At 39.7% G+C, this 15,642-nt stretch overlaps 1 protein-coding gene across 7 annotated transcripts in view, besides 3 other annotated features; it reads right to left on the bottom strand.

The window, feature by feature from the left end:
• The window catches only part of APAF1 (apoptotic peptidase activating factor 1), a 90,144-nt gene that overhangs the window by 30,747 nt on the left and 43,755 nt on the right, over window positions 1-15,642 (bottom strand). For 3 of the 7 annotated variants that reach the window (NM_181861.2, NM_013229.3, XM_047428758.1), the window contains 2 exons: window positions 5,118-5,279; window positions 1,188-1,316 (listed from right to left, as the gene is read on the bottom strand). The exons of 1 other annotated variant lie outside the window; for it this stretch is intronic. In NM_181861.2, the coding sequence (NP_863651.1) occupies window positions 1,188-1,316; window positions 5,118-5,279 (291 nt within the window). Of the gene's footprint in view, window positions 1-1,187; window positions 1,317-5,117; window positions 5,280-12,757; window positions 12,853-15,642 lie in introns of those variants that run through there. 3 more of the 7 variants (NM_181868.2, NM_001160.3, XM_047428759.1) reach the window with 2 other exon arrangements.
• Window positions 5,544-5,713: an enhancer, noted in NCBI's record as "experimental_31421 CRE fragment used in MPRA reporter constructs". NCBI's record gives its function as "activates a minimal promoter by MPRAs in K562 erythroleukemia cells, with activity observed for the non-introgressed 12:99092837 or rs76211385 variant allele {active_cell/tissue: K562}" and the evidence as "EXISTENCE:reporter gene assay evidence [ECO:0000049][PMID:34662402]".
• Window positions 5,562-5,631: a silencer, noted in NCBI's record as "silent region_4757". NCBI's record gives its function as "represses an Ori minimal core promoter by ATAC-STARR-seq in GM12878 lymphoblastoid cells {active_cell/tissue: GM12878}" and the evidence as "EXISTENCE:reporter gene assay evidence [ECO:0000049][PMID:35858748]".
• Window position 5,628: a transcriptional cis regulatory region, noted in NCBI's record as "Neanderthal adaptively introgressed variant 12:99092837 (GRCh37/hg19 assembly coordinates) or rs76211385 in the experimental_31421 CRE". NCBI's record gives its function as "modulates activity of the experimental_31421 enhancer by MPRAs in K562 erythroleukemia cells {active_cell/tissue: K562}" and the evidence as "EXISTENCE:reporter gene assay evidence [ECO:0000049][PMID:34662402]".

The following is a 15,642-nucleotide window of genomic DNA, read 5'->3' as shown; positions in this document are numbered from 1 at the left end:
TTCACACTCCCTGCCTCTGTGTGCAATGGGAAGAGTCTCAGTAGGGAAGTTCTTCAGTGTCACATGCACTGCTGCACCTAGAATTAGGAGAAGCCTATGGATCTCATGCCCTCACTCTCACCTGTGCCTCTATGTTGAAGGGCTATAGCTTAGCAACTCTCCCCCAACACCTTCACAGTAATGGGCAAGGCTGGCAAACTCACTAAAATTTGCTAAATAAGCAGAGAACACTGAAGAAGTGCTTGCAGTAGTCATGGCTCCCTTGATGAGGAGCCTGTGAACCCAGTGAATTTCTCTATTTTCCAAAAGGCCCATACCCATCTTCTTGGAACTGTGATCTGAAGGGGTTTCAAACTACCTGGTGGTAAAACCAACCTAAGGAATGAAGACTAAGAAAGCCTGGAAAAACTAATCTATCTTTGGCCAGGCAAGGTGATACACCTGTAATCCCAGCATTTTGGGAGGCCAAGGCTGGGGGAGTATTGCTTGAGGCCAAGAGTTCAAGACCAGCCTGGGCAACACAGTGAGACCCCCATTTCTATTAAAAAACAAAAAAAAAAAGCACTAATCCATCTTTGAAGGAAAAAAATAATTCACTACTTTATGAAAAAACTAATATAGCACTTCACTGGGTGGAATTCTTCCAGGGCCAGCTAGGTATACATTCTGAACATAAAATTTAACAGGTAAGTACAAAATCATAAAAAAGTAATTTATATGAGTTATTTTATTCATTAGTGCCTGGCAATGAACATCCTATCTTATCCTACTCAATGATCTAAGAAATCTGAACTGGACTCATTTCTCACCACCTTTTTTAAGAAGAAAAGAGTCTGTGCCTACACTGTTTAAGAAATGCCACATATCTATACTGGATAAGAGATGTCATGTTTCATGACCAGCAGTCATTCCATTGTTTTCCCAGTTCCTGGCACATGTTAGGCATTCAGCAAATGCTTGCTGAATTCCCTGTCATACTGTCAAATCAAGTCTGCAATCACTGTTAAAATAATAAAGCTGGCTATGTGGTTTAATATCCCAAAGTTAGAGGTCATTAGGCTATAAAGAAAATACTCTATAATTTCTCAAGCAAGGCTCCTCAGCAGTTAATGGTTTAAGCTGCCCATTCTCTGTCATCCTTTGATCTCTGGAAACCCAGGCTTCACAGAATAAATTCAACTACTCACCTCTACACAGTACTGGGACAAAGCAACCACTGCCAAATGGTTTTGTGGGGAGAAGTCACAGTACTGGATGGTGCTGTGATGGCCCGTGTGGATTTCTCCCAATAGGCCACTAGTATGAATGTCAAAAAGCTGTCAACATAAATAGAGATACCTATGAAGGTAAAATACTTTAAGAGATAAGCTATTCTAATATCCTCCCATTTCAAATATAAGTCCTGAAAAAAATATGACAATTACTGATAACTGGCATAATTATTGACAGTCATAAACAAAATATGGATCAATATACATATACTTTAAAAATACTGCTCATCTTAAAACATATTTTCTATAAAGGAAAATTCATCACAGATGAGCTCTCAAGCTAGCCTAAAGAGAAATAAAAGCTTTGTGAATAAATGAATAGACTGGCCCAATTAACATACAGAGTAGTTCTCCCTAATGCTTGTTTATTCAAAAGAGAAAATGAATACTCATAAATGAAGATGATCAAAATAATATAGAGCAGAGGTTTGCTAAAATAAAATTAGCTCAGTCATTTTTATTTCTCTCTAGAACTACCAAATTGCTCCATTATAGTCAATCATTTTCCTGTTTTTGAACCCCAAAAAACTACTTTGGGTAATCCAAGTTTCTTCAATTTTTTTTTTTTTTTTTTGAGACAGACTTCTGCTCTTGTTGCCCAGGCTGGAGTGCAATAGCGTAATCTCAGCTTGGGGCGATCTCAGCTCACTGCAACCTCCACCTCCTGGGTTCAAGCAATTCTCCTGCCTCAGCCTCCCAAGTAGCTGGGATTATAGGCATGCACCACCACGCCCAGCTAATTTTTTTATTTTTAGTAGAGACGGGGTTTCTCCATGTTGGTCAGGCTGGTCTCGAACTCCTGACCTCAGGTGATCCGCCCACCTTGGCCTCCCAAAGTGCTGGGATTACCGGTGTGAGCCACCACGCCCAGCCGCAGTTTCTTCAATTTTTAAGATTTATAAATGCTGAATATACTCTTCCAAAGTTTTTGCCAAATAAGATGATTTTTATTTACTACATGTATTGATACAATATACTGATTTAAGATCAAGACATAGACCTTAGAAAGAAACAAAAAAGCTTCCAGTGGGAGCTATTAAAATGTTTAGTAGCCCAGGCACGGTGGCTCACGCCTGTAATCCCAGCACTTTGCGAGGCCAAGGCAGGTGGATCACGAGGTCAGGAGATCGAGACCATCCTGGCTAACATGGTGAAACCCCGTCTCCACTAAAAATACAAAAAATTAGCCGGGCGCGGTGGCAGGTGCCTGTAGTCCCAGCTACTCGGGAGGCTGAGGCAGGAGAATGGCGTGAACCCAGGAGGCGGAGCTTGCAGTGAACCGAGATAGCGCCACTGCACTCCAGCCTGGGCGAAAGAGCGAGACTCCATCTCAAAAAAAAAAAAATGTTTAGTGAATGCATAGTCCCTGCAAGCATGCACATATGGTAGGCAGCGTAGCGCCGGAGGCCAAAAACACAGGGCAGGAAATCAGATTTAAAATGCTTCCCAAGATAGGTCATTTTTTAAAAAATTAGTGGCTGACAGTGATCGAGGAAACTTGGCAAACTTGCCTATTCCACAATAGGCAGTTGTCCCAATTATGGAATAGTAAAAGAAAAAAGACCTAACAATAGGAGTAGACTCACATAGGAATTGGAAAGAAAGAACAGGAGGAGGAAGGAGAGACCAAAGGGTAAGAAATCGGGATCTACATGCAGTTAAGGAACACCTTTGGGTAGCTTTCTTTTAGCATGGTAAAACAGGGAACTGCTGTACAGATTTTTAAAACAAGGCATTTCATGCAATATAAAATTATCTTCCTCTCACTAGAACAGGTCTCTTAAAATCTTTTCAAAAATTATCTTTTGTTCAACATCATTGGTAATTGGGAAAACACAAATCAAACCACAAGGAGAAACCACTTCACACCTACTAGGATGGCTATAATTTTAAAAATGAACAATAACAAGTTTTATCAAGGATGTGGAGAAATTGGAACCCTTGTACATTGCTAGTGGAATGTAAAACGGTGCAGCTGCTGTGGAAAAATCTAGTGGTTCCTCAGAAAACTAAATAAATAAAGAATTACCATATGACCCAGTAATTCCACTCCTAGGTAAACACACAAGGCTCAAATAGATACTTGTACACCAATGCTGCAGCATTATTCACAGTAGCCAAAAGGTGGAAACAAACCAAGTGTCCATCAACAGATGAATGGATGAAAAAAATGTGATATACAACCCAAGTATGATAGTCCAATTCCTTTTCACAGATCACACAAATCACTCAGTTATTCTCTTAAATAATTAAGCCCATTATATACATAAATATATACTTGACAGAAATTCAACCATTATAGGTCGGCTAGGGGATAAGGTTCAAAGTTTTCTGAAGAGGAATATTTTGAGTTTTGATCTGTACATTGGTTACAACAAGGCTGTATGTGAAAATAAACACTGGTTTGTAAGAAAAAAAAAAACAAAGAAAAAATGTGATATATACATACAATGGAATATTATTCAGCCATAAGAAGAAATACAGTTCTGATACATGCTACAACATGAATGAACCTTGAAAACATGCTCAATGAAATGAGTCAGACACAAAAGGACCGATATTATATGATTCCATTTATATGAAATACCTAGGCAAATTCGCAGATTACATTAGAGATTACAAAGGTCTAGCAAGAGAGGGGAAAGAGGAGTTATTACTTCATGGTTACAAAGTTTCTGTTTAGGGTGATGAAAAAGTTTTGGAAATATATAGTAGTAATGGCTACACAGCATTGTGAATGTAATGCCATTGAAATGCACATTTTTAGATGGTTAAAATGGCAACTTTTACATTATATGCATTTTATCACAATAAAAAAGTTTTAATCTTCAAGTCTTGCTTATGCAGTGGTTTCTTTTCTGTTCTTATAGATTTTAACAAACTTAAAGGGAGGTATTTTTCCTCTTAGTTTCCTGCTAAAGGGGTACAAACTCATAAGCAACCAACATCCAAGGATTGTAGCACTAAATCAATAACAATCATATACATGATCCCTCAGTGAGTTCTTATATAACCATATTTTATATTTCAATTATGCTCTTTAAAACAGTAATATCCCTCATTCAAGTCTTTTGAAATCACTATTAGATGAGAATGTAAGTGAGCCATAAATCAGAAGATCTGGTTCTCCTAATCACAATGTAACTTTAGACAAATCATTTGGCTGCTCTGAACCTCAGTTGCCTCATTATTATCATAGGGCTACTGTAACCCGCTGCTTCTTGAATACTTATATCAAAAGAAATTATATGTGAGGGCACTCTGAATACCACAAATACCAGCTACTATTAGATGTGGGGAAGAAAAGCAAAGAATTTTCTTATTTACTTTTTTCATATTTTCCTCATTTACTTTATAAAAATTTCACTATCTTGTTCAGTCATTGATGAGCATTTCTGTCAGAGTCATCAAATCATAAAATTGTAGGTGTAAGAAAACACTTTGAAAAATCACCTAAACCAATGTAATCAAAATTGAAGAAAAAAAAGGAGTGATGAAGAAAGCATTCTATGTTTTAAATACATTTGAGGAACACTGGATTCGATGGCATAAATTGTGTAAGAGGACTTCCTGGGGCCCTGAATATGTTAGTTCATACAGTGTGCCTAATAGGGGAAAGCAATACAAAACATATTTCCCAAACGGTGTAACCATGGAGACCTTTCCTTACAAGGCCATCCTTATCTCACGGAGCACAGTTCCAAAGAACCATGACAGGTTAGGAAGACTGCCCAAAATCACACAGCTAGACTTTATTTTTATGAATAAACATTGTAAAATGCAAAAATGAACAGAAGTTTTAACTTTCTTTAAATCAGACTGAAGTTGGCTTTTTAAAGTACTTACAAAGATTTTATTTTTTGCTGCCACCATTATCCTTGCACCATCAGCAGACCACGAACAACACTTCACTATCACTTCCATATCCTCTTGAGGGTCCTCCAAATTTAGGAAGAACTGTTTCACATTAATGCTTTTCCTCTCATTTGCTGATGTCGCATCCCAAAGCTTTGAATTAAAGTAATAAAAAAGAAAAAGTTTGTTTTACTCTATAATCACACTTCTAGAATTTTTCCTAAATTAAATGCCACATAAACTTATTCACTTCACTTGATGAATTATTTTTACCTATGCATGACTTTTTGTAAGGCTTTTAAATTAAGATCTCCAGTTTCATTATTACGTTCTTAAAAAGAAAAAATTAGAAGCACTGCCCAAAATGCAGAACATAAAATTAAATAAAAAGTTAAGAGTCTTGCATGGTGTGGAAGCTAAAAATTACATGTTGACAGTAAGGACACAAGTGGAAGAAAGGTGGTAAGATGAAGAGACTCACGACTTGCCACTGCTGCCCTCTGCTGTGCCAGGAATGAAGTGTGTTTCACGAACCTACCACATGCACAGCAGGAAGACTACACAGGACCCAGTCCAAGTTAGGTCGTGACCTAGCAGAGCATCCAGAGACATAAGGAAGTCTCTGAAAACAGGGACAAGCAAGACTCTTTGTGTGCTTGGCAGGGCCAGATAGGGCTACAAAACTAACTGGATCCTGAGGAATGAGATACAAAATACTGTAAACTTTGCTCACTAGTAGGACCACTTGAATAGCACAAAAGACAAAGGCCTTCAAGAAGATCCACCTTCACTCCTCTGGGCCATGAGCAGTGTCTCAGCCTCACAGAGTGATAATGACTGCCCATGCCCAAACCAAAGGTTGGCCACGGAGAAGGATGGGGGTTGGGGGAGAAAGCTGCTGCTCAGGCTTTAAGTCAGCTTCCAAAGCACAACTCCCAGGTAAAACCTAATTTTTCTGGCCAGGTACATTTTCAAATCTCTCGAGTAAAAAGAAGTATTATATATACTAAGAAACATGGCCAAAACCAAAACTTTTCTACTTGCAACAACTGCAGGTAATCTGGGTAATGCAAAAGAGACAGCAGGTGCTAAAACAGCCTTCCCTGATACTAAAGAGAAAAATAAATAAATAAACATAAAAGCCTGAACCTTCAGTTACATTATCCAGAATATATGAGAAATCAGTTTCCCTATTAATATGAAAATCAGGCTGGGTACAGTGGTTCACACCTGTAATCCCAGCACTTTGGGAAGCCAAGGTGGGAGGATCACTTGAGCCCAGGAGTTCAAGACCAGCCTGGGCAACACAGTGAGACCTCATCTGTTTTGTTTTGTTTTGTTTTCAATTTAAAAAAATTTTAAAAAACAAAAAGAAAAAGCAACTATTGCCTGAATTTTACAAAGAAAAATAAAAGTAGCACAATCCAACTTGATTATACATGTCTAAATTGCATCTGTTTCTGGACCTGACTTCAGCTTCTGTCCAAGCAGTGGTGAAATCCCACATATTGAGGGACCACATAAACTAATACCAGCATTTCATTCTGAGCAAGTCGCTACACTGTATCCAGGGTCCCTGTGCACCCCAGGCCTCTGCGTGCTTTAAATGGCAAATTTTTAAATAGAACTCACATTTTAAAACAGTTCATCTCAGAGCCTGAAAAGCACATGCTTATCAACATGATACCCTACAAAATGCTTAAAAAGTTATAGAGCCATTTGGGGCAGGACATAATTTTACAGTTTTCATCCTCTCAAAAGGTAAAAACTTACAGGAGAATTTGACCTTGAAATGCTGTTATCTAACATCATTTTGCAGGACCTCTGCTTACTACCTGTCATTATATCAGTGTGAACCAACCAATGATACTGACTTAACAGCACGGTGGGAAAGCCACCACAAACATGGGCAGTTCTCACCAAGAGTGCAGTAGTGTCTGTCCCCTGCTGCGAGTGCTCTGTGAGCCACAATCACATTTTGATACTCATACATGAATACGGAAATCAAAATCCTGTCCCTGTCAAATGATGACTTTTTAAAAAGTGTCCGAGTTTGAAGAAGTCTTAGTTTGACTTGAAGTGACACAGCAAGGGTTTATCATCTTTAACACATTTATTAAACACTATGCTAGTCACTTTGAGACTATATAAATGAATCAGATACAGATACTACCCTCAATGAGTTGACAGGCCAGTAAGGGAAGTAAGACAAGCACATAAATAACTTAAACACAAAATATGTCAGGTGTCATTTGAAAGGAAAAGGTATAGCACAGTGGGGAGGCTATATTCAAGCTGAGGGCTTGAGGGAACACTTTGTACAGGAGGTAGTCACCTCACTCTACTCCCTGAGATTAGCCTATCTTATACCAGCTTAAGACAGAGAATTTCAACATCAAAAAGACAGGGGAACACTCCAGGGCCTAGAGCCTATTCCAAGGGATCAGCATAAGCTAAAGTACAAAATGAGAAAACAAAGACAATGAAAAAGAAGAACAAGTTCAATCTGGTTGTAGTATCAGGTATGTGAACCCTTCCCCAACAGAGTCCTTATCTGCTCTCAGAGCACTGTCTTCATACGTTTATGATTTTCATGGTTCATCTGTTCACTTATGTTCTCTCCAACTTTATTCTGAACAGTTCAGAACAGCCAGGAAGTATACTTTTTTCTTTTTCAGGGTTTAAAATCCAAATACCTAGTACAGTATCTGGCACACACTAAGTATTCAATAAATACATTTTAAGTGAAAAGACTGATTACTCCCGGCAGGGTGCAGTGGCTCATGTCTGTAATCCTAGCACCTTGGGAGGCTTAGGCAAGCGGACCACTTGAGCCCAGGAGTTCAAGACCAGCCTGGGCAACATGGTGAAACCCCGTCTCTAAAAACAAACAAACAAACAAAAAGATCACTCCCAAGTTTCAAGCACAGGCGAGTACAGACAATAGTGTTGCTGAAAGAAATAGGGTTCAGGTGTTAAAGATGCAGAGAACACATACAGCTCTGCTATGGTTTGGAGATGGTTTATTTATCCTGACCCAAACTCGTGTTGAAATTGGATCCCCACTGTGGCAGTGTTGGGAAGTAGGGCTTGATAGGAGGTGTCTGGGTCATGGGGGTGGATCCCTCATAAACAGATGAATGCCTTCTAATGCCTTCCCACTGGGGTGAGTTCCCTGGGAATGGATTAGTTCTCAAGAGTGCGGGTTGTTGAAAACAGTCTGGCTTCCTGGGTTTCGCTATCTTCAATCCTCTCTTTTCATATGATCTCTTTGCACACGCCCACTTCCCCTCCCCTTTCCACCATGAGTGGAAGCAGCCGAAGGCCCTCATCAGGTGTAGCTTCCCAATCCTGGAATTTCCGGCCATCAGAATCATGAGCCAAGTAAACCCCTTTTCTTTATAAATTACCCAGTCTCAGGTATTATGTTTCAGAAAACAGAGAACAGACACAGACCATTTCCAAACTCTCCCAAAACTCAGGTAAACAATAGTAATAGGAATTTTTCTCTCGGCATAATCCACAAGGCGAAGGAAAATGGAGAAAGAGACAGCAGCAACAAAATCATCAAGTCTAGAAAGCAGAAAGGCAAGTAATAGGCAGACTCCTAGAAATTAAATTCTGAGCCTGCAGTGGAGAAATCCAAGCAGCCCAATCACCCCACAGAACTCCAAAAAGACTCAGGAAGTGCTGGCACCCAGTACCTTCTGATAAAGGTGAAGTTAAGTCCTTCAAAAAGACTCAGGAAGTGCTGGCACCCAGTACCTTCTGATAAAGGTGAAGCTAAGTCAAGAGGAATCTTTAAAAGTCCATTGAAATCTCCTCCCTTCACTCTGCAACCCAGGGGGCCTGTGTCCCTACTCTGGCAGAATACAAGGCTATTCTATACCCAACACAGTTGAGAGAAGGGTCACCTGAAAACAGGAAAATTAAGAGAAAGTCTTTTTTCTAAATGTTGAGATCTCTGCCCAGATATCATCTCAGAACTGGCCAGAGTCATATCCTACAAATAGGAGATTAAAATTTCTTCTAGCCAGGCATGGTGGTGCACACCTGTAGTCCCAGCTCCTCAGGAGGCTAAGGTGGGAGGATCACTTGAGCCTAGGAGGTTGAGGCTGCAGTGAGCTGCAATCACACCACTGCACTCCAGCACTCCAGCCTGTGTGACAGAGTGAGACCCTGTCTCAAAAAAAAAAAAGGGGGGGGGCGGCATTGGGCGCAGTGGCTCACACCTGTAATCCCAGAACTTTGGGAGGCCAAGAAGGGTGGATCACAAGGTCAGAAGTTCAAGACCAGCCTGGCCAACATGGTGAAATCCCGTCTCTACTAAAAACACAAAAATGAGCCAGGTGTGGTGGTGCGTGCCTGTAATCCCAGCTACTTGGGAGGCTGAGGCAGGAGAACTGCTTGAACCCAAAAGGCAGAGGTTGTGGTGAGCTGAGATCACGCCACTGCACTCCAGCCTGGGCAACAGAGCAAGACTCCATCTCGGGAGGGAAAAAAAATGCAAGAAAAAGAAAAAAGAGAAAAGAAAATTTTTACTCTGGACACCCAACCAGTTCAAGACAAAAGATATAAAGACTTTGACATCAAAAGTTCACCATCTTGCAGTGAGCCGAGATGGTGCCACAGCACTCCAGCCTGGGCAACACACCAAGACTGTCTAAAAAAAAAAAAAAAAAATTGTTCATGATAAAAACAGATAACCCATAGGAAAACCACAATTTAAAAGTTCACAATTCCCATTCAACTTGTTGGTGATGTATTCTTAAATATGAGCAGATAGCAAAGGATCAGATAGCTAAGATATATCTATGTCTAAAATCCAAACAGAAACCAAAACCAACAAATAGAAAAATATCTATTACACTGGAATATGAAAACTTCAAAAAAAACCCTATTACTAATGCCCATAAAAAGATAAAAGATACTGCATCCATGAAACAAGAACAGAATAATATTTAAAAGGAACTAATCACACAAGAATGAATACTTAAAAATATGGTAGCAGAAATTTAAAACTCAATAGAAGGAAAGAAAAGTAAAGCTAAAGAAATCTTTCAAAAAGTAGGGCAAATGGACAAAAAGAAGGAAGGAGAGGAAAAAAAATTTTAATCCAGAAACACAAGCATTCCAGAAAGAGAAAATAGGAAGAAATCAAATAATTCAAGGAAATGCCAGAACTGAAGGATAAGTTTCCAGATTGAAAGAAGCCACCATTCTGTAGGCAGTTTACTCTGTTGATAGTTTCTTTTGCTGTGCAGAAGCTTTCATTTAATTAGGTTCCACTTGTCAAAGTTTGTTTTTGTAGCAATTGCTTTTGAGGACTTGGCCAAAAATTATTTGCCAAGACTGATGTCAAGAAGGGTATTTCCTAGGTTTTCTTCTAGGATTTTAATAGCTTGAGGTCATATATTTAAATTTTTAATCCATCTTTAATTTTTACATGTGGTAAAAGGTAAAGGTCTAGTTTCATTCTTCTGCATATGGCTAGCCAGTTATCCCAGCACCATTTATTGAATAGAGAGTCCTCTCCCGCATTGCTTTTGTTGGCCTTGTTAAACTATGCATCCAACAAAGGTCTAATATCCAGAATTCATAAGGAACTCAAGCAAATCAGCAAGTGAAAAACAGAGACATCTTTAGACATTATAATAAAGACACCTTAAAAATTTACTTCCCATAGATTCTTTCTTAGGAAGCTAGAGGAGATTCTCCACCAAGCTGAAAAAGTAAGCCAAGAAAGAAGACGAAAAAAAAAAAAAAAACTGAAAAACAAGTGTTCCAATTTAAAAGAAAAGCAAAAGGAATCCCTAGGATGATGGTAAGGAAGACCTCAGGATGGCAGCTGGACTCTGGGAATAGTATTACCATTACCGACCAGAATGGAGCAAGATAGAACCTTCCAAAAATGTTGTTTCCAAGAAAAGACTTATAAAATGCCTGGTAAGTTTGAATCATTTAAGGAGCAAATTAACAAGAGAGAGTTTGAAGATAAGCACATATAAAAACTAAACAAATGAAAAAACAAACTTATCAACCCCAGGGAAAACAGAAAGCTAATGAGAGAGGAAAAAAATTCACACGATACGGCTCAATTGTGATTAGTTACAATGATGTAAACCCTGAACACTGTTCTAATCAAAATCAATGTACAAAAATCAGTTAGCCAGGCACAGTGGTTCATGCTTGTAAGCCCAGCACTTTGGGAGGCTGAGGCCAAAGGATCACTTGAGGCCAGGAGTTTGAGACCAGCCTGGCCAACGTAGTAAGACCTTTTTTCTATTTAAGAAAAAAAAAAATCAGCAGCATTTCTGTACATCAATAACATTAAAGCTGAGAGCCAAATCAAGAACACAATCCCATTTACAGTAGCCACACACAAAAAAATAAAATACCCAGGAATACATCTAACCAAAGAAGTCAAAGATCTCTACAAGGAGAACTACAAAACACTGCTATATAATTTTTATATATGTGTTGTTTTTTTTTTTTAGTCAAAAAATAAAAGATGCCAGGGAGGCTGCAGAGAAAAGGGAACGCTTATACACTGCTGGTGGGAATGTAAATTTGTTCGGTGACTTTGTAAAGCAGTTTGGAGATTTCTCAAATAACTTAAAACAGAACTACCATTCAACCCAGCAATCCCATTACTGGGTATACACCCAAAGGAAAACAAATCATTCTACCAAAAAGACACATGCACTTGTATATTCACTGCAGCACTATTCGTAACAGCAAAGACACAAACCAACCTAGGTGCCCATCAACGGAAGGTTAAAGGAAATATGGTACATATACACCATGGGATACAACACAGCCATAAAAAAGAATAAAATCATGTCCTTTCCAGCAACATGAATGCAGCTGGAGGCCATTATCCTAAGCAAATTAATGCAGGAACAGAAAACCAAATACCACAAGTTCTCACTTATAAGCCAGAGCTAAACATTGGGTACACAAAGACATAAAGATAAGAACAATAAATGCTGGGGACTACTAGAGTTGGGGAGGGGGGAATGAGGCACCTATTGGGTACTATGCTATCTGGATGACAGGACCAGTTGTACCCAAACCTCGGCATCAGCATCATGCAATATACTCACATAACAAACCTGCACATGTACCCCTGAATCTAAATAAAAGTTGAAATTTTTTTTTTTAAATCATGAAACATAGGCTGGGTGCAGTGGCTCACGCCTGTAATCCCAGCACTTTGGGAGGCCGAGGCAGGCGGATCACGAGGTCAGGAGATCAAGACCATTCTGGCTAATGTGGTGAAACCCCGTCTCTACTCAAAAATACAAAAAATTAGCCGGGCATGGCAGCGGGCGCCTGTACTCCCAGCTACTAGGGAGGCTGAGGCAGGAGAATGGCATGAACCCAGGAGGCGGAGCTTGCAGTGAGCCGAGATCGCGCCACTGCACTCCAGCCTCAGCAACAGAGCGAGACTCTGTCTAAAAAAAATAATAATGAAACATAAAAAGTAGGTCATGTTTGAGAAGAGAATAATTAACTCAGTTTGGAGTGCAATAACTTTGAGGCATGGTATGTTACTTAAGTGACAACAACTAGCAGGAAGTTAGGAATGAAGAACACAGCTCATAAAATGAAGGTTGCAGATGACATACCTGAAAAAAGATGAGTTGAAGCCATGAGACTGAATGAACTGGGATGGAAGAGCGGTGATAGAGGTGGTAGCCAAGGTTAGATGCTGCAGGAATAGCTACATTTTAATGGTCAGGGAAAATAGTTAATGAAGGGATCAGAGAGCTAAGAGGAGAAAGAATAAAACATTGATGTAAAATGAGGAGAGTTTCAAAAAAAACACAAAAAAACAAAAAAACTAGGTGGTCATTGGGGGTTTGACCAATAGTAATACAACAAAAATAATGAGAATCAGATAAAGAAAAATATCAGATTTCACACTAATCCAGAGGGCCTTAGACTACAAAAAAAATTGAAACTGAAAATAAAACTGGATTTTTACATTCTTCAAGGGAATACAGGGAAGATGAAACCAGGCTAAAAAATGGTTAAGCAGGGAGTAGGTAGTCAGGAAACAGAGGCAAGTATAGATGACTTAAGAAGCCCAGTCATGAAGGGAAAGAGAAAAACAGAATGACAATTTTAAAGAACAATACAATCAAGGAAGAATCAAAGGTTTTTCACTTTTTGGCTTTATAAGGCTCAGGAAGGCCCAAGAACATTTGTAAGCTGTGGAAAATAATTCAAAAAAGAAGAAAAATCTGAAGAAGCAACATAGAGAGGAAACAACTAATGAAACAAGGTGCCAGGAAAAGAAGGAAAGGGAGGAACAGTAGGTACAAGTACAGGATTTTTTCTTTTTTTTTCAAGACGGAGTCTCGCTCTTCCCCCAGGCTTGAGTGCAGTGGCGCAATCTCAGCTTACTGCAACTTCCGCCTCCCGGGTTCAAGCAATTCTCCTGCCTCAGCCTCCTGAGTAGTTGGGATTACAGGCATGCGCCACCACGCCCAGCTAATTTTTGTATTTTTAGTAGAGACGGGGTTTCACCATGTTGGCCAGGCTGGTCTCGAACTCCTGACCTCATGATCCGCCCACCTCGGCCTCCCAAAGTGCTGGGATTACAGGCATGAGCCACCATGTCTGGCCCAAGTACAGGACTTTTTGGACACTGTTATGAGAAAAAATGGAGCAGAGGCTTTTTACAGCAATTTCTGAGGGGGCTTATGATAGGGGACTCTTGGTGGATGGTTTTAATCCTTTGAATGGGTATGAGGTAACATTATTGCCATAAAATAAAAGGGTTAGGGGCTTAAGAACAGCAGAAAAGGATTAGAATAGGCACTAGTGGAAAAGCAAATAAATTAGGGATGAACAGACCATAATTCAGCGGCAAATAAGGCCCAGCTGAGCTGTACAACTTATATTTGTACAACACATAAATGGCCTAGTTTTACAGCTTTCTTGAACATTTGGCAACCTAATAATAATGGCAAACATGCTAAGGATAATGCAGTCTTCCCAGAATTTGGAATTAGCAAAGGAGATAAGATGAAAGGAAAACTTAAAATATAAAATGCCTTCTTCTGAAGTCTTTCACTGAGTAAAAACCAGGAAATAATAGGCTGACAAAATGAAAGGAGGGCTGCCTAAATCCATCCACGGGTATTCTGAAAAACCTCCCATGACATGGATCATTCTAAAGGAAGAAGCAGATAGATATAGCATAGAGGCCAAAATCCACTTACCTGAATATTCTACCTAAGAATGCTCCCAGCACCCACTAACAGCTAGCTAAACTCTACAAAGTAGAATTCTACCCAGAAAGAGTTTCTAGATACTCTGGAGTAATTTATACAAAAACAGTTATCTTCCGTCAGCAAAGCAAGATCAAAGATTCAACCAGAGTATCAGAATCAAAACAGTTTACCTTTCTCAGGAGTTAGTAGCATTGCTGAATCTCCTTCCCTAGAGATTCTAACAAACAAAATAGTGCCCAGGAGTATTTAAGTATTTTCCTAGAAAAGGTGTAGTCAAGAAAATTTACTGAATACTTGAGTACAATTCTGTACTATGAGTTACAAAGAAAGGTATAATACAACAAAAAGATGTCAAGTTCCCTGCAGATCATAAACCTATATTCAACCTAATCAAAGAAACAGAAGACACATTAAAATGACTGAACAGTACAACACATTTATAAGTGGAAATCAGAAGACAAACCAAGCAGTTTCTACCTATAGATATAGATAGATATATGTACTCAGAACCAAACAGATGGATGCTGTAAGAGAACACTTTCTGAAGAATGCTTTGCAGTCCAGGTGTGGTGGCTCATGTCTGTGATCCCAGTACTTTGGGAGACCAAAGTGGGAGGATCGCTTGAGCTTAGTTCAAGACCAGCCTGGGTAACACAGGGAGGCCCCATCTCTACAAAAATTAAACAAAATTAGCTAGGCATTGTCACACACGCCTGAAGTCCCAGCTACTCAGGCGGTTGAGGCAGGAGGATCACTTTAGTTAGCCCAGACCACTGCACTCCGGCCTGGGTGACAAAGTAAGACCCTGTGTCTCTCTCTCACACACACACACACACACACAGACACACACACTCTCTCTCTCTCTCTCTCTCTCTCTCTCACCCTCACACAAAAGGCTTTGCCTAAAGTTTTGACGGGCATTAAAAAATATGGCAAGTGAAATCGAAGGCAAAAAACATCCTAAGAAAAGCTACAGGGGCACACATAGGAAACATCCCAAGAAACACATACAGGGACAGTAGCTGAAATAAAACACCTTGCCCAGAACAGACAATTAAGGTATAGGGGTTAGAAGAAACAAACTTGACAGGAAAGGATGTGGCAGAATGACGGAAGGTGAAGAACCTTAGAAGTCATCCCAATGAGTCTGCGTTTCCTACAGTTTATACTATGGCATAATTTATGTTGAAAATAGTGGTAGGGCCGGATGCAGTGGCTCACTCCTATAATCTCAGCACTTCAGGAGGCCAAGGCAGGCAGACTACTCGAGC

The sequence above is a fragment of the Homo sapiens genome, chromosome 12 (assembly GCF_000001405.40).
Source record: "Homo sapiens chromosome 12, GRCh38.p14 Primary Assembly".
Classification (NCBI taxonomy): domain Eukaryota; kingdom Metazoa; phylum Chordata; class Mammalia; order Primates; family Hominidae; genus Homo; species Homo sapiens.
The sequence above is the reverse complement of the archived record's forward strand: the minus strand, read 5'-3'. Positions and strand labels throughout refer to the sequence as shown.